The 24,137-nt window shown below is 51.0% G+C and overlaps 1 pseudogene across 2 annotated transcripts, besides 6 other annotated features; it reads right to left on the bottom strand.

Moving 5' to 3' along the window:
- Positions 1-1,593: 1,593 nt before the first annotated feature.
- Positions 1,594-17,576, bottom strand: GOLGA2P11 (GOLGA2 pseudogene 11; annotated as a pseudogene). 2 transcript variants are annotated; one of them, NR_169521.2, is made up of 24 exons: positions 17,441-17,576; positions 15,936-15,988; positions 15,752-15,846; positions 15,406-15,567; positions 15,191-15,298; positions 14,910-14,997; positions 13,203-13,411; positions 12,703-12,740; positions 12,043-12,583; positions 11,777-11,857; positions 10,562-10,612; positions 10,200-10,473; positions 8,744-8,802; positions 8,270-8,411; positions 7,392-7,481; positions 7,179-7,286; positions 6,902-6,985; positions 5,522-6,528; positions 4,504-4,860; positions 3,499-4,054; positions 3,311-3,412; positions 3,137-3,239; positions 2,906-3,053; positions 1,594-2,818 (listed from the first exon to the last, which is right to left on the bottom strand). The product of NR_169521.2 is annotated as a GOLGA2 pseudogene 11, transcript variant 2 (transcript). The 2 variants fall into 2 exon arrangements; NR_136885.1 differs by lacking the exons at positions 7,392-7,481; positions 8,744-8,802; positions 10,200-10,473; ... (9 more) ...; positions 15,936-15,988; positions 17,441-17,576 and adding an exon at positions 8,641-8,668 and having other exon boundaries at positions 2,402-2,818; positions 4,533-4,814; positions 5,581-6,528.
- Positions 2,388-2,888: an enhancer, noted in NCBI's record as "H3K4me1 hESC enhancer chr15:62534714-62535214 (GRCh37/hg19 assembly coordinates)". NCBI's record gives its function as "activates a minimal SCP1, AML or CMV promoter by ChIP-STARR-seq in primed H9 embryonic stem cells {active_cell/tissue: H9 hESC(primed)}" and the evidence as "EXISTENCE:reporter gene assay evidence [ECO:0000049][PMID:30033119]".
- Positions 2,889-3,389: an enhancer, noted in NCBI's record as "H3K4me1 hESC enhancer chr15:62535215-62535715 (GRCh37/hg19 assembly coordinates)". NCBI's record gives its function as "activates a minimal SCP1, AML or CMV promoter by ChIP-STARR-seq in primed H9 embryonic stem cells {active_cell/tissue: H9 hESC(primed)}" and the evidence as "EXISTENCE:reporter gene assay evidence [ECO:0000049][PMID:30033119]".
- Positions 13,609-14,501: an enhancer, noted in NCBI's record as "H3K27ac-H3K4me1 hESC enhancer chr15:62545935-62546827 (GRCh37/hg19 assembly coordinates)". NCBI's record gives its function as "activates a minimal SCP1, AML or CMV promoter by ChIP-STARR-seq in primed H9 embryonic stem cells {active_cell/tissue: H9 hESC(primed)}" and the evidence as "EXISTENCE:reporter gene assay evidence [ECO:0000049][PMID:30033119]".
- Positions 13,609-14,517: a biological region, named in NCBI's record as "Sharpr-MPRA regulatory region 15238".
- Positions 14,223-14,517: a silencer, noted in NCBI's record as "tiled region #15238; K562 Repressive DNase unmatched - State 12:CtcfO". NCBI's record gives its function as "represses a minimal TATA promoter and a strong SV40 promoter by Sharpr-MPRA in K562 cells {active_cell/tissue: K562}" and the evidence as "EXISTENCE:reporter gene assay evidence [ECO:0000049][PMID:27701403]".
- Positions 22,079-23,278: an enhancer, noted in NCBI's record as "MED14-independent group 3 enhancer chr15:62554405-62555604 (GRCh37/hg19 assembly coordinates)". NCBI's record gives its function as "activates an origin of replication core promoter dependent on BRD2, BRD4, P300/CBP and CDK7 cofactors, and independent of MED14, by STARR-seq in HCT116 cells {active_cell/tissue: HCT116}" and the evidence as "EXISTENCE:reporter gene assay evidence [ECO:0000049][PMID:35650434]".

A 24,137-nucleotide genomic window follows, 5' to 3' on the forward strand; every position in this document is an offset into this window, starting at 1 on the left:
TAACACACACAGAGTTATGTACTATTATCAAAATTTGATATAAGATATTTCACCATCAAATTATGGTTCCTCATCACATCTTCTTTGGAAATTGCTCTCTCTGCTGCAGATGGCATCACTAGGGCCCACATTTGGAACCTCTCCCAAGATGTGCCCTAGAGTCTATGGAGTTTGGATATTTTATTCCAGCTCCTCCTCCACACCTTTTGATGCTGTCAGCATTCTTCAGAGTAGGCTCCTCTTAGGTTCCTTGACTGGCACATAATCTCTCCTGCCCAAATAAACTCTCAGCCATGCTTAGCAAGAAGCTGCATAATTCATAGGAAGTGAAATTTAAAATTGTCCCCATCTTTGCCTTTCTAAGCTGCTGCTCGAAAGAGAATCCAGTAACATAGAGTGAGGTCTAGGGTTTCCAAGGATCTGTACTTTCCCCTATATCTGGAGAGGGGTAGCTGATGTCACTTCCAAATCTCTGGCTTGTGAATAGGTTCTTATTCTGCCTGTTTTTAAACATGCCACCCTCTCCCACTGTTGGCATCTGTGGGCCATATGGAAAGAGGGAACTTTTTCTCTTGAGCTTCTGTGAAGTACGGTTTATTTTCTAGTTTTTCCATTTCTCTTTTCAATGCTGAAGTATTTTTTAAGACTTCCTTTTAGTCAACAAGTGCCTTCATGTTTTGTCTCCTCTTCCCTTAGCAAAACCAAAAGTAAGGTATCCTTTGGCAAGGAGCCAGGTATATCACATCAAGGTAAAATGACCCATGGTTCCTCATTTTGACATTCAACTTACTGCCCAAAGGAAGATTTCAGTAGCCAACAGGAATGTTGCCCCTCCAAAGTGTGCCACCTCCAGTGAGCCTCCCTGTCATGCCCGGCCTGTGGACAGCCAGCCCCCGCCATCACTTCAGTCCCCCGCCAAGCATGGGTGTACTGTGTAGGCAGCCATGTGGCCTGATAGTCTCTACCAGTCCTGCTGTCTCTCGGCTGAGAATCAAACCCATCCTGAATGATGGGAAATGTGTCCTCTGCTAGCTGTGTTTTCAGTGGAGCTCAGGGGAGGGAAAGGGCCAAGCCATTACTAGGGTGCTGTTGGGAGCAGTGAAAAGGCCACATCCTTTCCAAAGGACACTTTTCCTGGAAAGCCCCTGGAGCTTAGCTGGCTCATCCTGTGAAGCCGGTTCTGGCCACTAGGGTGCAGGGCCATGAACTCAGCCTGGAGGAAGCCTGCAGGGCAGCTGGCACTCTGGAGGGACAGACAGAACAGGCCACCAGGTGCAGACAGGCAAGGGAGGCAGGAGGATGGAATGGAAGATGCCTGGGCTGGATGGAAGTCAGTGCCCTTGGGTGCTGGTACCTGCCTTCCCGGCCACCGCTAGATCAGGATTCTGAGCCTGTTGGCTGTCAGGGCTGGACTGTGCCCCATAGGCACCACGGCAGTCCCCGTGGAATCCCCCAGGTGTCACCAGGCAGCATCCAGGAAACAGGCCTGGAAGGTCCCCATCAGCCCAGTTGGACATGCTCAGACACTCTGGGGCTCCCCATTCAGTGGCACAAACTCCAGGAGCCAGTGAAGGAAATAGGAACACACCAGGATGAGCAGTATGGCTAAAAGCTATTTATTCCAAAATGAAAAGCAAAATAAACAGGAGTCTCATCACCAGGGAGCCACAACCCCATCCCTGCCTCCCTCCTCTGTCATATGCTATCAAATAAGTTTCCCAGCCACAAATAATTATTAGAACCTCCTCCCCATGTGCCAACTCCAACCTCTGCTATGTATGATACAGGGGGCAGCCCTACCCCCAGAATATACAAAATGTTACACAGATACAATATGTACACTGGGGAAGGGGACCCACCTCCAGCAGCTCGTGCCCTCGCCTGGTCTACATTAGCTCCATTGTCCTGCCTCAGCTGCCTCTCTGAGTAAAATGGGAGCCCCCATGAGGGAAAAATTGCTTTGGTGGGATTAACGCCATCAGAGAGGCCATGAGGCTTCCTCGAAAGAAATAAACTCTGAGCCTCTAGCTCTTAAATAACAATAATCGTCTTCCAGAAATTTAAGGACTCAGCCCTGGCCAAGGCGGCAAAGGGTCTGCACTTGTTTGTCTCAACCCATTAGACAGGCGGCTTGTCTTGCTACTCTAAGGGTAAAAGGGTGAGTGGGAATGGGTGGTAGGGACATGGTAGGGGCACAGCCTCCAACCCCACTTCTCCAGGCTTTGCTGACGGTGGCCTGTTTTTATTATTTTTTATTTTTTAAATTTTTATCCATGACTATTTTTTAATCCCATAACTTTTTTTCTATAACTTTTCCATAACTTTTTTCCATAACTAACTTTTTTCATAACATTTTACCTGCAGCTTTTTTCATAATTTCTTTAATCCCATAACTTTTTTTAATCCCATAAATTTTTTCCCATAACTTTTTTTTTTTAAATTTGGTGGCCTGCTTTTAGATGACAGTGATCTTCACCTCATCTGCACCTGTCTCCCTCACTAGATAGGGGTCTTATTTTGCTACTGTAAGGGTAAAGGGGTAACTGGGAAGGGGTGGCAGGGACGTGGTAGGGGCAGACTCTCTGGTCCCATTTCTCCAGGCTTTGCTGACAGTGGCTGGCTTTTAGATGATTGTTACCTTCATCTTGCTCTCCTGAGCTCAGTAAAAAATGGGGATGCAGGGGTTGCTGCCCAAGCCTGGGCGCTCCTGGGGGTTCTGCATCTCATGAAGCAGCCGCATGATCTGCTGTGCCGTGGGGCTGTCGTGGGGAAAACCCTCCCCAGCCTCTTCTTGTTCAGGCTCCACACTGTGGGAGATCTTTGGAGACAGGGAGGCAGGGCTCAGAGCACTGTGTGAGCCCTCCCCTCATCCTGCCAGCCCACCCTGCCCAAGGGCTCTACTCACCACCCTGCTTGTTGGCAGCCCCAATCTCCTGGGGGGCTGGGTCCCATGGAGCAGGCTCATCAGCAGGGTTCTGGGCAGCTGCCAGGAATCTGCCATGCCACTTGTTGCAGTCGCCCACAAGCTGCAACACCAGCTCCAGCAGCTTCACCTGGAGGGAGGGGTGCTCAGCTGCCACGCCCGTGCCCACACCCACCCCCACCTCCACCCCTGCAGAGATGTTGCACGCCCTACCTTCATCTCCTCCTTGTCCTGAGCCAGCCTGCTTATGTACTCATTCTCCCGGTCCACGTCTTCAGCACTGACCTCTGGCTCTGGTATGATGTGACGTACTTTCCTGCAGGAGGACAGGGCTCAGACATTGGGGCCCCTCTGACCACCCTGCAGCTCCCCCTGCCGTGCCCTGACCTCTCGCTCACTGATGGTGTCTGTTTGTCCAGACAGCTGAATGCAGCGACATTCCAGTTTCTCCACCCGCTCATTCTCCTGCATGAGCTCCATAAAGCGGCTCTGGAGTCAAAATAATGGGGTCACATCCCCGCAACAACCTGCCCCGCCCCCACCCTTCTTGGCCATGCCAGGAGAGACTCACTCACCTGCAGCTTCCCCATGGTCCCCTGCAAGGTCCGGTGGGTTTCCCCACACAGAATCGCCCCCAGTCCCTGGGGCTGAGGCTGCTGCCTCTGGCTCCTTCTGGGCCAAGGCCACCGGGTAAGACAGGCGCTGGCAGTGCACCCTTTGCTCCTTCAGCTGCCCATGTAGCTGTGCCTGCTCCTCTTCGGCACTGGCTAAAGCCAAGTTTTAAAATGCCACCTGCGGGCAGGAGGTGCCCATTCTTGTAGGGGGATACACAGGATGAACGGGCCAGGGCAGTAGAGAGAAGCCCTTCCCTTGGGGCCTCAGAGGGTGCACCTATTGGTCTCAGGTGAAATGGTGTCTGACCACTGGCTCCCAGGGAAGGGGTGAGGGTCCAAAGAAATCAGAAGGCAGAAAAACCAAGAGCATAAGGGTGTCTGGGAGGGAGGAGAGAGGGAGGAAGCAAAGGTGGGGCATGGGGAGTCAGGCTCATCATGGTCTCCCAGCTCTCCAGGTCCTCCAGGATGCTCAGCATGGACCAAGGCTCCTCCTCCTCCTCACTCTCCAGTCCATCTCCTATGGGGGTGGGGCGGGGCAGTGACCAGAGGGGTCCTCAGACAACCCAACAAGGGAGTACAGTGGGCCCACCTCTGCCCCCACCCTCACTGTGTAACCCTAGGCCAGCCCCTCCCCAGAGAGGAATGAGTAGCTGCTCTTTATTTTTATTGCATTTTTTTAAAGAGCCAAGGTCCCGCTATGTTGCCCAGGCACAGTACCACTACCTATCTACCTGGGAGTTCTGACCTGATCCATTTCTGACCTGGGCCAGTTTACCCATCCTTAGGCAACCTGGTGGTCCCCCACTCCCAGGGCACCATATTGATGCCGAACTCAGTGCGGACACCCCGTCGGCATAATGACCAGCTGTTCTAAGGGTCTCTTCCAACTCCTCAATCCTATGCTGCTAACAGTCCCCTGCTCCTCCGAGGACTTTCTCCTCTTCCTGTGACTGGTCTCCCCCGTACCTTCCCCAGGGAGAGCCATGAGACTCAACTGGGCCTGTAGCTACTGGTTCTGCTTCCAGGCGCTCCTAAGGGGTCAGGAAAGAGAATGAGAAGGCATGGATGTTGCCAGGTCTCATCCCCCTCGGGGACCTGCCCTCAGCAACTCCCTTTCCTGGGTCTCCTGCAACTCTTGGCAGGCCATCTCTGCTACTCTTTTCTCTGGTGCTGCAGCTGGTCCACGAGCTGGATCTGCAGAAATAACTGCCTGTGCAGTGCCTCCTCCTCAGAGATCAGCTGCTGATAGTACTGCTGCAGAAGACCTCAGCACTGGTCTCCCCGCTGCGGCAGGCTCTGAGCCTCTTGGTTCTTCAGCTCCACCTGCAGGAAGACCCTGGGCGTGAGGGCAGGTGGTGGCTGGCTTCCAGATTCTGGGCCCAGAAATAGGGTAGCAAGGGTACTGTGGGACTCTGTCGCCTGCCCAGGCCCCTGGCCCCTTGCTCCAGGCCTAAGTGACTGCCTCCCTTGCGGAGAGCCCCATGCCTCCTTCCCCAGCCTCAAATCACACACCCATTTCCCACCATTTAACCTGTAAGCCACAGGTGGAAAAGCAGAAGGAGCCAACCACCATCTGCTAAGTGTGCTACATGCCTAATGCTTTCCATGTATTATCTCATTTAATTCTGAGCACCTCTGCGAGGAAAATGCTCATTTCCTTTTTAAGTGAAAGAAACCAAGACTTAGAGATGGAAAGTAGTTCAATGGTGAGCAGTGGAGCCGAGGCCAGAATTCAGTTTGAATCTAAGGAGCCTCTTATACCACTGTTTTTTCCCTGTGATTGGGGGTGCTCCATGTCTCTAGCTGGGACAATAGCCAGCTAGAGGATATTGGGAGGAGTCCAAGGCTATCCACCTCTAAAAGTCAGAGGGCAGGAAGCAAGAAACAGTCACGGCACGGCCCTGGAGGCTGCTAGGGTCACCTGTACCCCAGGCTGGAGCTGCCTCTGGCCTCCCACCTCCCTTCCCCAGAGGCTGATGCCCACCTCCCTGCCCTTCTTGAATTGGGCGGGGGTTACCATCTCCTTCAGCTCGCCCAGATACTTCTTCAGTTCGTGTTTCTGGGAGAGCGCGCGCCTGATGGTGGTACGGTCGTTCCGCACGGTATGCCTGAGCGCCTCCACCTGCTCCTCTCAAGGCTCGGCTTTCCACTCAAGCTCCAGCAGCCTCTCCTCTTGCTCCAGCATCCTCTCCTCTTGCTCCAGCAACCTCTTCCTGCTCTTGGTTCAGGCGACTCAAGCCCTCATTTTCTTGCACATGGGCTTAAAGCTGTCCTGTCAGATTCTCCAGCTCCTTCCGCAGGTGTTCAGCCTCTGCTTGTAGCTGCTGCTCCACCTCGGAGGGCCCTGCTGGGGGCTCCGGGAGTAGGGGTTCAGCTGAGAAAGGAAGCGGCCTTCCGCTTCTGCTCTAGCAGCCTCTCCTGCAGCTCCAGCAACCTCTCCTCTTGCTCCAGCAACCTCTCCTCTTGCTCCAACAACCTCTCGTCTTGTTCCAACAATCTCAGCAACCTCTTCCTGCTCTTCGTTCAGGCGACTCAAGCCCTCATTTTCTTCCACTTGGGCTTAAAGCTGTCCTGCCAGATTCTCCAGCTCCTTCCGCAGGTGTTCAGCCTCTGCTTGTAGCTGCTGTTCCACCTCGGAGGGCCCTGCTGGGGGCTCCGGGTAGGGGTTCAGCTGAGAAAGGAAGCGGCCTTCCGCTTCTGCTCTAGCAGGCTCTCCTGCAGCTCCAGTAGCCTCTCCTCTTGCTCCAGCAACCTCTCCTCTTGCTCCAGCAACCTCTCCTCTTGCTCCAGCAACTTCTCCTCTTGCTCCAACAACCTGAGCAACCTCTTCCTGCTCTTGGTTCAGGTGACTCAAGCCCTCATTTTCTTCCACTTGGGCTTGAAGCTGTCCTGCCAGATTCTCCAGCTCCTTCCACAGGTGCTCAGCCTCTGCTTGTAGCTTCTGCTCCACTTCGGAGGGCCCTGCTGGAGGCTCCGGGGGCAGGGGTTCAGCTGAGAAAGGAAGCCGACAATAAGGGCCTCTGGATTCTCAAAAAAAACCCTCCTCTTGGTGCATAGCTCCTCTCAGGTTCCCCAGACTTGGCCTCCCTGCTAATAACTCCTCGCGCCCTGATGGTAGCCAATCTTCCAAGCCACTTTCAGGTACAGACAACTGTGGGTGGCTGACAACAGGCACTTTTTCCTCTTTGCTGATGGGGACATTGAGGCTCGTGGAGATGACAAGACTTGCCGTCTCCTGGCACAGACCTCTTTCCCTCTGCCTCAAAGCCTTTCCATGCATCCACCTCTCTGGCATTCTAAGCCATCCCCACAGCCCTCTGATGCCAGTCCTGCTCCCAGGTCACCCCAGCCCCAGCTTACCCACCTGGTTCCTTAGTTCAGCCAAGATCGTCTCCAGCTCCTGTACTCGACTCATGCTGTGCACTCTCTCCTCCCTCAACGTGTGCACCTGCCCAAAGCACAGGGGGAAAGGGCCCTGCAGAGAGGGGCTGGCAGCTGGACAAGCTACCATCTCCCTCTCTGCCCCTACCTCCACAAAGCCCAGACCCATGACCACCTCTGGCTGTGCTCCTCCCATTTCACAGATGCCTGGAACAATCAAGTGACCTATCTACGGTGGGGGCTGAAGGGTCAGGTCTCACCTGCTCTGACATCTCCCGCATCCTCTGCCACCACATGGCACTCTCTCCATGCAGATACTCGGCATACTGCTCTCTCTCCATTTGCAGATACTTCAGCCACTCCATCACCTGCAAGAATGGGCACAGAAGTTAGGAAGGGCTGTCTGGTCCTCACATGCTTCTGGCCCCCTGGGGTCACCTTCCTTCCACATCCCTCCCTCTGCAAAGCCTCACCTGCCCCAGGTGTGCTTCCAGCTGTGCCCGTTCGTCTGTGGGCTGCTGTAACTGCTGGTTAGCATCAGGGGCTTCACACCAGCTAGATAACTGAATGATGAAGAAAGAGAAGTTTCAATCTGAGGAGCCTGGGCTGTTCCACACAGTGCCCCTTAAAAGGGCTAGAGCTAGGTTCAATGTACAACTTGGTCAATAAAGATCTCTACTGTGAAGGTGCTTTCCTTTAGAAATAAAAAATTAGGTAATTTTAAAGAGATCTCAGGCCGGGGATGGTAGCCCATGCCTGTAATCCCAACACTTTGGGAGGCTGAGGTGGGTGGATTGCTTGAGCTCAGGAGTTAGAGACCAGCCTGGGCAACATGGCGAAGCCTTGTCTCTACAAATACAAAAATTACCCAGGCGTGGTGGCATGCGCCTATAGTCCCAGCTACTTGAGAGGCTGAGGCAGGAGGATTGCTTGAGCATGGAAGGCCGAAGGTTGCAATGAGCCGAGATCACGCCACTGCACTCCAGCCCAGGTGACAGAGCGAGACCCTGTCCCAAAACAAACAAACAAATAAGAAATCTACTCTCTATTATTACCGTGGAATAGTCGAAGTGTTGGCTTGAACCTCAGAAGGAAATAAACAGGCTCATGAGCTAGCCGTATAAGTGTAATCTATAAAATAATGATTTTCATCTACGCTGCATTTAAAAAAAAAAATTTAAGCCCTAACCCTGAGATTCTGATTCCCCAGATCTATGGCAGGGCCCCAATCTGTAGATTTTTAGCAGTCTCTAGAGGATTCTATGGCAGGACCAGAACAAGGACTCAAATTTTCCAGCTCTTGGCTGGAGCCTTCCCATACCCCACCACCCCTAGGGCTGCAGCCTCTCACCTGTTGAAGCGTGAGCTCAGTGAGTTCCAGTTTCTTTTTCAGCTCCTCCAAGTCACACTGCATCCCTGCCTTGTCAATCAGTACAACTTGAAGCTGCTCTGCCAAAGCTGAGTTCTCCTGCTTCAGCTCCTTATTGCTGTTGCTACGGCCAGAGGCAGTAGAGAAAGGAATGAACAAAGAACAGAAAGGGCTGCTTTGGTGATCAGCCCTCTACCCTCACCCCACAACCACAGAACCATGGCACTGGAAGGGACCTCAGGAATCAAAAGTCACAGGTGGCGGGCCAGAGAGAAGACATGAGTTCCCCAAGGCTATCCCATGAGTCAGAGGCACAGCTGGCCCTAAAGCGTAGCCTGTGCACGCATTCAAACCTGTGTGACCACGTCACCATGCTCACATGCAGCCCTTCCACCTCCCAGCACATCACCCACACTAAGGGCCCCACACCTCCCATCCCACCCTCCCCCGTCCTACCTGTTATTGTATAACTCCAGCCTGAGGGCATCGCTGTCTCTGGTTAACTGGTTGTTGTACTGAAAATACAGAAAGGTGAAGTCAGGATACAGCAGGCAGAGAAGCAGCTGGCAGACTAGGAACGACAGCTACAGTGACTATTCCACAGTAACACTTCCTCACTCTCAATCACGCCTGACATGTTTGCAAGGCATTTCCAAGCCCACAGTCTCATTTGTTTCTCAAATAACTCAGTAAGGGTGGAAGGGACAGGGAAAGAGATCGAATTTACAGCTGGCTACCAGAGGCCCAGAGAAAAAAGAGAATATTACTATTGTTATTACCGTTATGACTGCCATTGTTGGAACCTTTATTGAGTGCTTCACCAGGCACCATGCTAACAATCCCATTTAATCCTCACAACCACCATAGGAGACAGTTACTATTATCACCTCTATTGTGTCGTTGAAAAACATGGGGTATTAGAGGTTAAGTGCTTGTCTAAGATCATTCAGACAGAGCTGGGATTTGAACACCCAGGTATATCTGATTCTCTAAGCCCATTTTTTCGCTGTGAGGCAGGAAAATAGGATCTGGAGGCAGGGAACATAAGGCCTGTTCACACTTCAGCTATAACAGGAAATATCCTCTCTATGGGGCCTATGGCTAAATGACTTTGTAACTTTACTTCATCCTCTCCATTTACATAGGGCATACCCCAAGTAACCAATGGAATCCTCTAGGGGGTAAACTCCCAAAAATTCTGTAATGGTGCCTTTGAGCCCTTATGCTCGGGTGCGCTCCCACACTGTGGAGTGTGCTTTCAGTTTCAGTAAGTCCTTTCATTCCTTCCTCGCTTTGTTTGTGCATTTTGTCCAGTTCTTTGTTCAAGACGTCAAGAAGCTGGACACCCTCCACTTTTAACAGCTGGGGGTGGGGGCACAGATGGAAAGGGGGATAATCTTGTGTTCAGTTTTTGAAGGGTACATTCTCATAGTCCAAAACTCAGAAAATACAGAAGGGAAATATCTCCCAGCCACCCTGGTCCTTTCTCCTGAGTTTTTTACAAATCCTTGCAGACATGTTTTATGTATATTATCATAGTACACACACACACGTGTTCCCTCTCTCTGCACAAATGTTAACATACTAAAGATACTCTTCTGTACCTTCACAGTGCAAGTACCATATCTCCCACCTAGGACTTGACCAAGGCCACAGCCAGGTAAGGGCAGGGTAGGCACTTGGCCTCCGAGCTCTGCATCCAGTGCTCGCTCCCCACAGCACCCCCCAACTCACCCACAGCAGCCGACACAGCCCCAGGCTGACTCTAACAAGCACGCACAAAAGCAGCGAGAAATGGCCCATGCTGCTTTCTGGGCAGGACACTCCATCCCGCAGAAGGGACCTAAAGGTCCCTCACTCCTCCATCTGGAAAGCCGGGCTGCCAGGGTATGGGGCAGGCGGTTGGACTCACCCTATCTGCCTTCCTCTGCTCCTGCTCCAACTCTCCCACATGCTGCCAGGAATACAGCAGATGGCTGGCCAGATCCTCGGCCTCTTCTAGAATGAGAGAGGTTGAGATGGGGCCCAAAGGACTCCCCCTAAAGGCCTGTCAAAGCACCAGGTTGAAGGATGACGGGTGCCCAGATTCCCACATTCAAACTGCCTGGCAGCACGTTCATTGTGATACAGTGTTGTCTTCAATTCTGCTTTCTCAAACATCAAGACTCTAATTATCTGAATTGAACCTTTAGGAGAAAAGCCAAGCAAATGCTGAAAGAGGAGGAAAGCAACATTCTCCAGAGGACAGGAGGGAACTTCACACCCTCCACTCACCTGTAATTGCCTCTTTAGGGCTCCCCGGTTTTGCTGGCTTTCTTGCTTTTCCTATAGGAAGAGGAAGACAGAGCTCTTACTAGGGGGAGGCAGAGATGGCACAGCAAGGGACATGCCCCTAGAATGCCACCAATGCCCCAGGACAGGCCCACCCATGGGACCAGGTTATCAGGGACCCTGTGGGGATGAGGTGGAATCTGGGGAGTGAGCCTTTTTCCCCAGGCTGGGGGTGGGCAAGACGAGACTGGGGCCTCTACATCTGAGTGCCCCCCAAACCCAGCAGTCATGCCGTGAGCAAACAAATCATTTCTTCTAGTTGCTTGACAAGTTTTTGGTTGTGCTGTTTCTGCGGGGAGAGTCAAAGGAAGGTGACCAAGGATGGCCCCCTCCACTCTATTCCCCAGACCAGGAAGCGGTAGACAGGGGCCAGAAATGGATTTTAAAGGCAAAGTTCTCAGACCCACTAGGACCATGAACTGGTAAACTCTCCTCAAGCTCCCAAGGACAGAGGATTTGGGTCTTTGTTGGTTTTGGCCCACGGCCACAGAACTGAAAGTCCGAATCTGGATTCTCCCGAAAGGACAGTAACATAAACCTTTAGAGATGGAGTCTGAGAAAAGCTCACCCTTCTACCAGCTTGTGATTTAGAAAGGTGCATTCACTCAACAAACATTGACTGAGCACATACAGGCCAGGTATGGTTCTTCATAGCAGAGATGTAGGACAGAAAAGGACAGACAGGATCCCTTGGCCCTGAGGCTTACATTCTACTGGACCTTTAAATCGTGGACTCTCAGAGCTAACAGAGACTTTTGATACTTTCTAACTCTACCTCCTCGGGAAACACAAGCCCAAGGAGGAGAGGTGGCTTGCCCAGAATCAAAGAGCAAATTAGGGCCTGAGTCAGAGTGGAAATACGGGGCTCCTGACAACCAATCAGGCCAGTGCTTCCCTGAGAAGCCACAACCCCAGGACATGTGTGGCAAGGGCTGGAGCATGGGTATCTGAAGAAGAGACAGTAGGCAAAGAGGGCAGCAACAGAAGAGCCATGATGCATGCTCCGTGCTCTGGGGTCCCTCTAGCTGAGGCCTCGGCCCCCCTGCTCCCCATTTGCCCTTGGCATCAGGGACCCTCAGCCCTTTCTTCAGGGCCCCAAGGGGAAACTGGAGCCCAGGACTTGCAGCGTGGAATTGGTGGACCCCATTGAACTCTTACCAATGACTCGATGGTTTTATTCCGTCGACTGATTGTTATATAACTCGAGTCCAGGGCGACTGTTACCTCTTGGTATCTGCTCTGAGGCACGTGAAGAGAGGAGGAGTTGGAGGAGGATCGAGGGGAGAGGTAGAGAGAGCAATCATTAGGGTTGGGGGGAGGGTGTGAGAGGTCTCAGATGGCAGAGGGGCACCCAGCCCCCACTGTGGGAGGAGGTTGGAGGGCTGGCCTGCAGGGTCACTGGGTCATGGCCCAGGGCCTCTTACTTCCAGATCCTTCAGGGTAGCGGATGATCCAGAGCCCTCCGCACAGATACCTGTTGCTGACTACAAGAGATGAGAGTGCGCATGGAAATCTTCTGTCCCCTCCATGTCTAAGCCCTCTGACTTCCTTTCTTCCCCAGCAACTGACAACATTTTCTTTTCTGCCTAACTTGGACCCTTCATCCCATAACCTCTTTGTGCCAACTTCTCTCATGGTTTTTATCTCCCCACCATCCCTTCCTCCCAAGCAGCTCTCATCTGGTGTTTCTACAGTAGGATAAAATGATGTAACCAGCCACGGGGTACAACTCCTTCATGTGAACAGCCTCAAGGAAGAAGCCTCAGGGAAGAGGCAACTTCCTCAACATGGCCCAGCAAATCGGCCAGTCCCAGGATCTTTCCTCTCTCTGGTGATTCCTGCCTCAGTTTCTTTCTATCATACTTTCCTTTCCCCCGCACTCCCCTCAATTTCTGAAGTTCCTCAGAAACAACGCCATTGAGCTGTTGGGAGAGTTGTTGCAGGCTCTCGGTTAATGAGAAGGTCCTAAGGGCAGAGACACAGGCGTCAGGGGTGCAGGTGGCTCAATGGGAAAGAAGGTGTTAGACAGTGGCCTCCCTGACTCCCTCAGCCTAGAGACTGCTGCCCTGATAAGAGACACTCACTTGCTTTCATCCATGAGATTGGGGCTAGCATGATGATTCTGTGTGGGAAGAAACATATGAGATGGTCATTCAATTTCTGTAAGAATCACCGAGGACAGGTGAGCCAAGTTCCCAAGCTCATTCCAACAATATTCTATCTCCCCAAACCTCAAGGAAAAGCCCAGTCTCAGCCTTCCCCCAGCCCAGTCCCCAGGAAGGGCACCTGGCCCTAGGGAACAAACTACTTGTGAAAAGAGAAGAGAATCCATAGTAGGTACAGGAGGGCAGTGGGCAGAGGAGGAGGAAGCATGAACCTGAGGTGCCGCTATGCTAGCAAGACTGGCACCAGGGCAAGGGACACCACCAGGTAACACGGTGTCATTGGCAGGTGGCTAGACAGATGCAGCATTGTCTTTGGCGTCTGTCACAGAACAAAGCAGGGCATTAGGGGGCCATGCAGGAGAGAAGGTGCCTCAGTGGCATGGACACAAGAGTGTGGAACAGGTATGACAGATACTCACGCAATGACAGTGACAGTCATGCATGCTTGGAGCCACTCGGGGGTGTGGATATGGTTTGCCCAGGCCTTGGGCTGCTAGGCAGCATTTTGAATGGCCAAAGCTCAAAGCAGGGGCTGCACGGCCTCCTTCATGAATACATGAGGACCTCGCTCCCCCTGGAGTTCAGCAAAAGACAGCAGCAGGTTCTGACCTGTGGCAGCCACAGCAGGCTGGAGGAAGGTGTACCAAAGTCAGGGAAGAGAAAGGCACTGTTCTTCCAGACGGCCAGTCTGTGCCACAGAGTGACCCTAACTGGGCCCCTCCTGGGCAGAGGACAGTGATGAGGAAGTAGTAGTCTGGGCAATGTACAATGTAGCTGCCTCTCTCTTCTCTCTTCCCTTCTCCCTTGCAGTGGCATAATCAGCAGGGGCTACCATCTCCTACAGCTCGCCCAGCTTCTCCTGCAGCTCCTCCTTGACATGCTGCTCAGACTAAAGTGCATTGTTGATCTCCATATTCTCACTGTTCTGGACAGAGAGAAGCAATCACGCCACCCACTGCAGCTGGAGACCGCAGAACTTGGTGTCTGCCTCCCATGGCGCCGGGAAGGATGGAGGCAGATTAGAAAAATGATCCCCTCTCCCCCATAGCCATCAAACCAGGGCTCTGGCTCACAGGTCCCTTCAGAAGTGCCACTTCACATGAGGGCTACACTGCCCCACTTAACAGATGGGGAAACAAAGGCCTAGAGGGCTGGGGAGGAGGGCAGTCTCCCCAGGTGGGATGCACCAGTTTTACAAAGCTGCTCTCTGTAGCTGCTCCTTGAGCTCAGGGTTCTGGGAGAGTGTGGGGCTGATGGTGGTGAGGTCATTTTGCACGGTCCCCAGGGTTTGCCTGCATACCTCCGCCTGCTCCCCTCAGAGCTCAGCCACCCGCCCCAGCTCCAGCAGCCTCTCCTGCTCCCAGTTCAGGCATTTCAAGTCCTCATTGTCTTGCATGTGGGCCCACTGGAGCTGTCCTGCTAGACTTTCCAGCTCCTCCCACAGGTGCTCAGCCTCTGCCTGTAGCTGCTGCTGCAGCTGCAGACCCCAGAACTTGGTGTCTGCCTCCCACGGCACTGGGAAGGATGGAGGCAGATTAGAAAAATCATCGCCTCTCATCCACAGCCATCAAAGCAGGGCTCTGGCTCACAGGTCCCCTCAGAAGTGCCGCTTCACATGAGGGCTGCGCCCCCTGCTGGGGGCTCCAGGGGTGGGATTCAGCTGAGAAAGGAAGCAGACAATAACGGCCTCTGGATTCTCAAAAACACCCTCCTCTTGGTACACAGCTCCTCTCGGGCTCCCCAGACTTGGCCTCCCTGCTAATGATTCTCAAAAAAACCCTCTGCATTCTCAAAAAAAAAAAAACCCTCCTCTTGATCCACTGCACCCCTCAGGCTCCCCAAACTTGGCCTCCCTGCTAATGATTCCTTGCACCCTGATGGTAGCCAATCTTCCAAGCCACTTTCAGATAGAGACAACTGTGGGTGGCTGACAACACACACTTTTTCCTCTTTGCTGATGGGGACATTGAGGCTCATGACGATTACAAGACTTGCCGCCTCCTGGCACAGACCTCTTTCCCTCTGCCTCAAAGCCTTTCCATGCATCCACCTCTCTGGCATTCTAAGCCATCCCCACAGCCCTCTGATGCCAGTCCTGCTCCCAGGTCACCCCAGCCCCAGCTTACCCATCTGGTTCCTTAGTTCAGCCAAGATCGTCTCCAGCTCCTGTACTCGACTCATGCTATGCACCGTCTCCTCCCTCAACGCGTGCACCTGCCCAAAGCACAGGGGGAAAGGGCCCTGCAGAGAGGGGCTGGCAGCTGGACAAGCTACCATCTCCCTCTCTGCCCCTACCTCCACAAAGCCCAGACCCATGACCACCTCTGGCTGTGCTCCTCCCATTTCACAGATGCCTGGAACAATCAAGTGACCTATCTACGGTGGGGGCTGAAGGGTCAGGTCTCACCTGCTCTGACATCTCCCGCATCCTCTGCCACCACAAGGCGCTCTCTCCTTTCAGATTCTCAGCGTGTTGATCTTTCTCCATCTGTAGTTGTTTCAGTGACCCCATTACCTGCAAGAATGGGCACAGAAGTTAGGAAGGGCTGTCACTGGTCCTCACACGCTCCTGGCCACCTGGGGTCATCTTCCTTCCACATCCCTCCCTCTGCAAAGCCTCACCTGCCCCAGGTGTACTTCCAGCTGTGCCCGCTCCTCCATGGCCTGCTGTAACTGCTGGTTAGCATCAAGGGCTTCATAACCAGCTTCAACTCCTCCATCTGGGAAGCTGGGCTGCCAGGGGATGAGGGAGGCTGTAGGACTCACACTGTCCATGTTCTTCTGCTGCGTGGAGAGAGCAAAGAGAGTTCGTTCCAATTCTCCCGTAAACTGCTGGGAATACTGCAGGCAGCTGGCCAGATCTGTGGACTCTTCTGAAATGAGAGAGGTTGAGATGGGGCCCAAAGGACTACCCCTAAAATCCTGTCAAAGCAGCAGGTTGAAGGATGACGGGTGCCCAGATTCCCACCTTCAAACTGCCTGGCAGCAGCACGTTCAGTGTGATACAGTGCTGTCTTCATTTCTGCTTTCTCAAACATCAAGATTCCAATTGTCTGATTTGAACTTTTGGGAGAAAAGCCGAGCAGATGCTGAAAGAGAAGGAAAGCAACATTCTCCAGAGGACAGGAGGGAACTTCACACCCTCCACTCACCTCTAACTGCCTCTTTAGGGCTCTCCCTGGTTTTGCTGGCTTTCTTGCTTTTCCTATAGGAAGAGGAAGACACAGCTCTTACTGGGGGAGGCAGAGATGGCACAGCAAGGGACATGCCCCCAGAATGCCACCAATGCCCCAGGACAGGCCCACCCATGGGACCAGGTTATCAGGGACCCTGTGGGGATGAGGTGGAACCTGGGGGGTGAGCCTTCTTCCCAGGCTGGGGGTCAGCAAGACGAGACTAGCACCTCTACATCTGAGTGCCCCCCAAACCCAGCAGTCATGCTGTGAGCAAAGAAATTACATTACTAGTGTGATTCTAGTTGATCCACAATTTCCTGGTTGTGCTGTTTCCTTGGGAGAGTCAAAGGAAGGTGACCAAGGGTGGCCCCCTCCACTCTATTCCCCAGGCCATGAAGCAGTAGGCAGGGGCCAGGAGTGGATTTTAAAGGCAAAGTTATCAGACCCACTAGGACCATGAACTGGTAAACTCTCCTCAAGCTCCCAAGGACAGAGGATTTGGGACTTTGTTGGTTTTGGCCCACAGCCACAGAACTGAAAGTCTGAATCTGGATTCTCTCAAAAGGACAGTAACATAAAGCTCTATGAGGCAGGAAAATAAGGTCTGGAGGCAGGGAATCTAAGACTGTTTCGCGCTGATTTCCTAGAATCAAATTGAATGGTAAAGAGTGAGAAGTTCAGATCTGGGGATCCTGGGCCATTCCACACAGTGCCCTTTAAAAGGTCTAGAGCTGGGCTCAATGTACAACTTGGTCAATAAAGATCTCTACTGTGAAGTTGCTTTGCTTTAGAAATAAAATATTAAATAATTTTTAAAAAGATCTCAGGCCAAGGATGGTGGCTCATGCCTATAATAACAACACTTTGGGAGGCTGAGGTGGGTGGATTGCTTGAGGTCAGGAGTTCAAGACCAACCTGGGCAACATGGCAAAGCCCCATCTGTACAAATACAAAAATTACCCAGGAGTGGTGGCATGCACCTGTAGTCCCAGCTACTTGAGAGGCTGAGGCAGGAGGATCGCTTGAGCCTGGGAGGTGGAGGTTGCAGTGAGCCGAGGTCATGCCACTGCACTCCAGCCCTAGTGATAGAGGGAGGCCCCATCCCAAGAAAAAAACAAACAAACAAAAACTCTGCTATCTATTATCACCGTGGAATAGTTGAAGTGTTGGCTTGAACCTCAGAAGGAAATAAACAGGCTCATGAGCTAGCCATATAAGTATAATCTATATAATAATGGTTTTCATCCATGATGCATTTAAAACAAATTTAAGCCCTAACCCTGAGATTCTGGTTCCCCAGGTCTATGGCAGGGCCCAGTTTGTAGATTTTTAGCAGTCTCTAGAGGATTCTATGGCAGGACCAGAACAAGGACCCAAATTTTCCGGCTCTTGGCTGGAGCCTCCCCATAACCTGCATGATCCCTAGACCATGTCCCCAGCTGGATGGGGCTCCCACCACCCCTGGGGCTGCAGCCTCTTGCCAGAAGCAGGATCTTAGCCCTCTCCAGCTTCCTTTGCAGTTGCTTCAGATTGAGTCGAAATCTTCGGTCACTAGGACTTGAAGCTTCTCTTCTAGTTCTGAGTTCTTCTGCTTCCGGTCCTCGTTGTTTTGGCTATGGCCAGAGGCAGTAGAGAAAAGAATGAACAAAGAACAGAAAGGACTACTGTGGAATCAATGAAGAGCAGAAAGGACTGCTCCTCTATCCTCACCTCACCCCACAACCACAGAACCATGGCATTGGAAGGGACCTCAGGAATCAAAAGTCACAGGTGGCAGTCCAGAGAGAAGACATGAGTTCCCCGAGGCCAAAGCATGAGTCAGGGGCACAGCCGGCCCTAAAGCGTAGCCTGTGCACACATGCAAACCTGTATGATCACCTCACCATGCTCACCTGCAGCCTTCCCACCTCCCAGCACATCACCCACGCTAAGGGCCCCACACCTCCCATCCCACCCTCCCCCATCCTACCTATTCTTGTATGACTCCAGCCTGAGGGCATCTCTGTCTTTGGTTACCTCCTTGATATACTGCAAATACAGAAAGGTTAAGTCAGGACAAAACAGGCAGAGGAGCAGCTGGCTGGCCAGTAACAATAGCTATAATAACTATTCCCCAGTCAACAATTCCTTACTCTCAATCACAGCTGACATGTTTTCATGGCATTTCCAAGCCTATAGTCTCATTTGTTTCTCAAAGAACTCAATAAGGGTGGAAGCGACGGGGAAAGAGATCAAATTTATAGCTGGCTACCAGAGGCCCAGAGAGATCAGAGAATATTGCTATTGTTATTACCCTTATTACTACCACTGTTTGAAGCTTTGAGCGCTTCACCAGGCACCATGCTAGCAATCCCATTTAATTCTCACAACCACCATATGAGACAGTTACTATTTTTACCTCTATTGCGTAGATTAAAAAAATGGGGTATTAGAGGTTAATTGCTTGCCTAAGATCACTCAGACAGAGCTGGGATTTGAACACCCAGGTATATCTGATTCTCTAACCCTTTTTTTCACTGGGGGTCGGGACACAGAAAGGAAGGAGGAAATTAACTTTTTGTTCACTTTTTGAAAGAATGATAAATTCACATAGTCCCAAACTCAGAAGGTACAGAAGTGAAATATCTCCCAGCCACCCTGTTTCTCTCTCCTGAGTTTTGTATGAATCCTTTTGTGGCAGGCCAATTCTCCCTGATAGTCACACAGACAGGCCTTCATGACAGTCACACAGAGAGCCCTGCACCGCACTCCAGTTATACAAACAAATTTCCACAGAGCTGCCTTAACATTGAGCAAATAGTTAAACCTAGGGAAATCCGTGCCCAGGTATCAAAGCTAAAAATGAAACATATGGTCAGTAGGACCCTTGCATAGGCTTCTCCCTAACCTGGAGCAAGTCAAAATAATAGAGACAGTCTTATATTCCTTGTCTCGGGTCGACGGAATCTGAGACGAGTCAAGGTAACAGAGGCAGCTGTTTGAATAGATTCATCGGAGGGTCTAAGGCAGTCTCCAGACCAAGCTGTAAGGGAGGTAAGATAGAAATAATCATTCAGGTACCACAGTAGACAGACCTTGAAGGTACCAGGGCCCTCACAGCTTAATCAGACTTAGCAAGCATTTTTTGCCTCTGACCTTCTAGTTGAAACAAAATTAGTTATCAGTGGACTTAGGCGAATGCTATACTGTACGTAGACACATAACCCCAACCTATATAAACACTAAGAATACTGTAACATTTCGAGTTGGTCTGGTGGAGTTATCTCCAGCCTTCTCTCTGTATCCAGTTACAGCAATAAATCCCCTTCTTTCCTAGTTTGCTTCTCATTTTTGAGCCTCAAGAAAACGCAGCCAGACCCAGTCTGGCTCTGAGACCACTTTCAAGCATGTTTTATGTATATTGTCATAGTACTTACACACAACACACACACACACACACACACACACACACACACACACGGTCCTTCTCTCTCCACAAATGGTAACATACTAAAGATACTCTTCTGTACTTTCACAGTGCAAGTACCATATCCCACACCTAGGATTTGGCTAAGGCCACAGCCAAGTGAAGGCAGGGTAGGCACTTGGCCTCTAAGCTCTGCATCCAGTGCTCCACGTCCAAGCTCTGCTTGCTCCCCACAGCACTCCCCAACTCATCCACAGCAGCCAACTCAGCCGCAGGCTGCCTCTAACAACCACACACAAAAACAATGAGAAATGGCCCATGCTGCTTTCTGGGCAGGACACTCCATCCTGCAGAAGGGACCTAAAGGTCCCTCACTCCTCCACCTGGGAAGCTGGGCTGCCAAGGGATGGGGCAGGCGGTAGGACTCACACTGTCCATGTTCTTCTGCTGCATGGAGACAGCAAAGAGTCCATTACAACTCTCCCACACACTGCTGGGAATACTGCAGGCCGCTGGCCAGATCCATGGACTCTCCTGAAATGAGAGAGGTTGAGATGGGGTCCAAAGGCCTATCAAAGCACCAGGTTGAAGGATGACAGGGTGCCCAGATTCCCACCTTCAAAGTGCCTGGCAGCACGTTGCATATGATACAGTTCAGTATTTAATTTTCCTTTCTCAGACATCAGTTTGTTGGTTCTCTGAATTTGAACCTTTGGGAGAAAAGCCAAGCAAGTGCTGAAAGAGAAGGAAAGCAACATTCTCCAGAGGACAGGAGGGAACTTCACACCCTCCACTCACCTCTAACTGCCTCTTTAGGGTTCCCTGGTTTTGCTGGCTTTCTTGCTTTTCCTATAGGAAGAGGAAGACAGAGCTCTTACTAGGGGGAGGCAGAGATGGCACAGCAAAGACATGCCCCCAGAATTCCACCAATGCCCCAGGACAGGCCCACCCATGGGACCAGGTTATCAGGGACCCTGTGGGGATGAGGTGGAACCTGGGGGGTGAGCCTTCTTCCCAGGCTGGGGGTCAGCAAGACGAGACTAGCACCTCTACATCTGAGTGCCCCCCAAACCCAGCAGTCATGCTGTGAGCAAAGAAATTACATTACTAGTGTGATTCTAGTTGATCCACAATTTCTTGGTTGTGCTGTTTCCTTGGGAGAGTCAAAGGAAGGTGACCAAGGGTGGCCCCCTCCACTCTATTCCCCAGGCCATGAAGCAGTAGGCAGGGGCCAGGAGTGGATTTTAAAGGCAAAGTTCTCAGACCCACTAGGATCATGAACTGGTAAACTCTCCTCAAGCTCCCAAGGACAGAGGATTTGGGTCTTTGTTGGTTTTGGCCCACAGCCACAGAACTGAAAGTCTGAATCTGGATTCTCTCAAAAGGACAGTGACATAAACCTCTATGAGGCAGGAAAATAGGGTCTGGAGGCAGGGAACCTAAGGCTCTTTCGCTCTGACTTCCTAGAACCAAAATGAAAAGAAAACCCTAACTTTCCATGTCTAAGTAACAAAGAACCAGAGGCTACTACCTCTGACCTTTTCTGTGAGGCAGATGGGAAATTGGCTGTCTGCAACAAGTAAGACTGATTGCTGGTCAAGTCTTCATTTGCAAAGAAGTATAACTTTGTAACTTCATCCTAGCCTCTGATTGGTTGCTTTTTGCAACTCATCAGATTGTTTGCACAGGAGTGTGACTTTTGTAACTTCACTTCAGCCTCTGGTTGGCTGCTTTCTGCAACCAATCAGACTGATTGCGGCTACCATTTCAGTTACATGAGGTGAGCATGAAGTGGCCGATGGGAAAATTCTGGTGGGTATTTGGACCAGGAAGATTCTGTATCCAGGCCCCTGAGCTGCTGCTCAGGCCCACTCCCACACTGTGGAGTGTACTTTTGTTTTCAATAAATTCCTGCTTTGGTTCTTTTGTTGCTTCATTCTTTCTTTGATTTGCTAGGCGTTTTGTCCAATTCTTTGTTCAAAATTCCAAGAACCTGGACAACTTGTAGTCACGACCTTCTACCAGTGACGTCTATAGATGGAGTCTGAGAAAAGCCCACCATTCTGCCAGCTTGTGATTTAGAAAGTGCATTCATTCAACATTGGCTAAGCACATACGGGCCAGGTACAATTCTTCATAGCAGGGATATAGGATGGAAAAGAATCCTATAGATTCAGACAGGATCCCTTGGCCCTGAGGTTTACATTCTAGTAGACCTTTAAATCTTGGACTCTCAGAGCTAGCAGAGACTTTTGATACTCTCCACCTCCTTGAGAAACGCAAGCCCAAGGAGGAGAGGTGGCTTGTCCAGAATCAAAGAGCAAATTAGGGACTGAGTCAGGGCAGAAATATGGAGTTCCTGACAACCAGTCAGACTAGCACTTCCCCAAGAGGCAACAATCCCAAGGCATGTCTGGCAGTGACTGGAGCAGGCATGTCTGGAGAAGAGACAGTAGGCAAAGAGGGCAGCAACAGAAGAGCCATGATGCATGCTCCATGATCTGGGGTCCCTCCAGCTGAGACCTGGGCCCCCCAGCTCCCCATTTGCCCTTGGCACTGGGTGCTCCTAGCCCCTTTCTTCAGGGCCCCAAGGGGAAACTGGAGCCCAGATTGGCAGAGTGGAACCAGGAGACCCTACTGGACTCTTAACTATTTCTCAGTTATTCTATTGAGTTGATTGTTTGTTAGATAGCTGGAGTCCAGGGTACAGTTACCTCTTGATAACAGCTCTGAAATGCACGCAGAGAGGAGGAGCTGGAGGAGGACTGTGGGGAGAGTCAGAAAGGGTAATCATTAGGGCTGGGAGCTGTTGGGATGTCTTAGCGGGCAGAGGGTCATCCAACCCCCACTGTGGGAGGAGGTTTGAGGGCTGGCCCAGAGGGCCCAGGCCCTCTTACGTCCAGATTCTTCAGGGTAGCAGATTGTTAGAAATGAAAATTCAGAGTCGTAAGGAACACGAAAACACAAACAAAAGATTTCTCAGCAAGGCAATTTTACTTCTGCAGAAGGATCCTGTTTGCAAGCCAGATTGCCTTGAAAGCACACCAAACAAAGGAAAGCAGGAGTTTTTATCCCTGATGCATCAGGACCGTACTGCTGTGTCCTATCTCCATTGGCTGGAGCTGGAACTCACAATCTAAACTGATTCTGACTGGCTAAAATCTTAAAACTTTCCTAAATAGGTAACGGCACAATGGAGAACAAAGAAAGGGAGGGGGTTACGTACAGGAAACTGGGATAATAATAACATTTCCAAATAAGGAAAAGGCATAGGCTACAAGCTGGGACATGCCTGGGCATGTCCAAGCATATCTAGGCAGACTAGAAACTAGAATAAACAACTTAGGCTTTGTTTAAAATATAAGGACATAGAAACATAGAATACACTTATTTCTCTACTATATTTAACAGCTACCCAGGGCATAACAAAGAGTCATTAGTAAACTAAAAGATTTATTAGTTTGTAGCATAAAAAGAAAAGAAAACTTGAAAGAAGTTTTTAAAAGGAACTGTTGTTCTTCTTAACACTTACTGTTTTTAAAAAGGGAAACTTTGAAGAGGAACTTTTTATTCTTAACACGATGATGCAGGGCCCTCCCAGTGGATACCTGTTGCTGACTACAAAAGATGAGAGTGCGCATGGAAATGTTCTGCCCCTCAGTGTCTAAGCCCTATGACCTCCTTTCTTCCCCAGCAACTGGCAATATTTTCTTTTCTGCCTATCTTGAACCCTTCATTCCATAACTCTTTTGTACCAAATTCTCTCACAGTTCTTATCTCCCCACCATCCCTCCCTTCAGAGCAGCTCTCATCTGGTGCTTCTGCAGCAAAAAATGATGCAACCAGTCATGTGGTCCAACTCCTTCACGTGAACAGCTTCAAGGGAGAAGGCTAAGGGAAAAGGCGACTTCCTCAACATTGCCCAGCAGCAAATCAGCTGCTCCCAGGATCTGTCCTCTCTTGCAAAACCCTGCCTCAGTTTCTTTCTATCATACTTTCCTTGCCCCTGCACCCCACTCTGGGCTTCAATTTCTGAGGTACCTCAGAGGCAACACCATTGAGCTGTTGGTAGAGTTACTGCAGGCTCTTGGTCAATGAGAAAGTCCTAGGGGTGGAGACATGGGTCACGGGTGCAAGTGGCTTGATGGGAAAGAAGGTCATGGGCAGTGGCCTTCCTGACTCCCTTGGCCTAGAGGCTGCTGCCCCAATAGGAGACACTCACTTGGTTTCACCTGTAAGATTAGGGCCATTGTCAGCATCATGTTTCTGTGTGGGAAGAAACATATAAGAGGGTCATTCAATTTCTGGTAACAATCACCCAGGGTGGGGTGAGCCAAGCTCCCAAGCTCATTCCAACAATCTTGCATCTCCCCAGACCTCAAGGAAAAGTCCAGTCTCAGCCTTCCCCCAGTCCAGTTCCCAGGAAGGCCACTTGGTCCTAGAGAACAAGCTACCTGTGAGATAGCGAGACCCCGTCTCTCTAAGTTCTCACCATGTTGCCCAGGCTGGTCTCAAACTCCTGGGCTCAAGTGATCCTCCCACCTTGGTCTCCCAAAGTGTTGGGATTATAGGTGTAAGCCACTGCACCTGGCCTATTAACTGTGTTTCTGATTCAGGCCTTTTCAGGGAAAAAAAGTTGCCCAACTGGAAGCCTCTCCCCGCTCTCTGTAGGTAAAAAGACAATAAACCACAGTCACCACCCCCACCCTGTCCTTTTACATCCAGAAACATCTACCCAACCAAGAAACAACCCAAAAAAACAGACATAAGAC

The sequence above is a fragment of the Homo sapiens genome, chromosome 15 (assembly GCF_000001405.40).
Source record: "Homo sapiens chromosome 15, GRCh38.p14 Primary Assembly".
NCBI classification, from domain to species: Eukaryota; Metazoa; Chordata; class Mammalia; order Primates; family Hominidae; genus Homo; species Homo sapiens.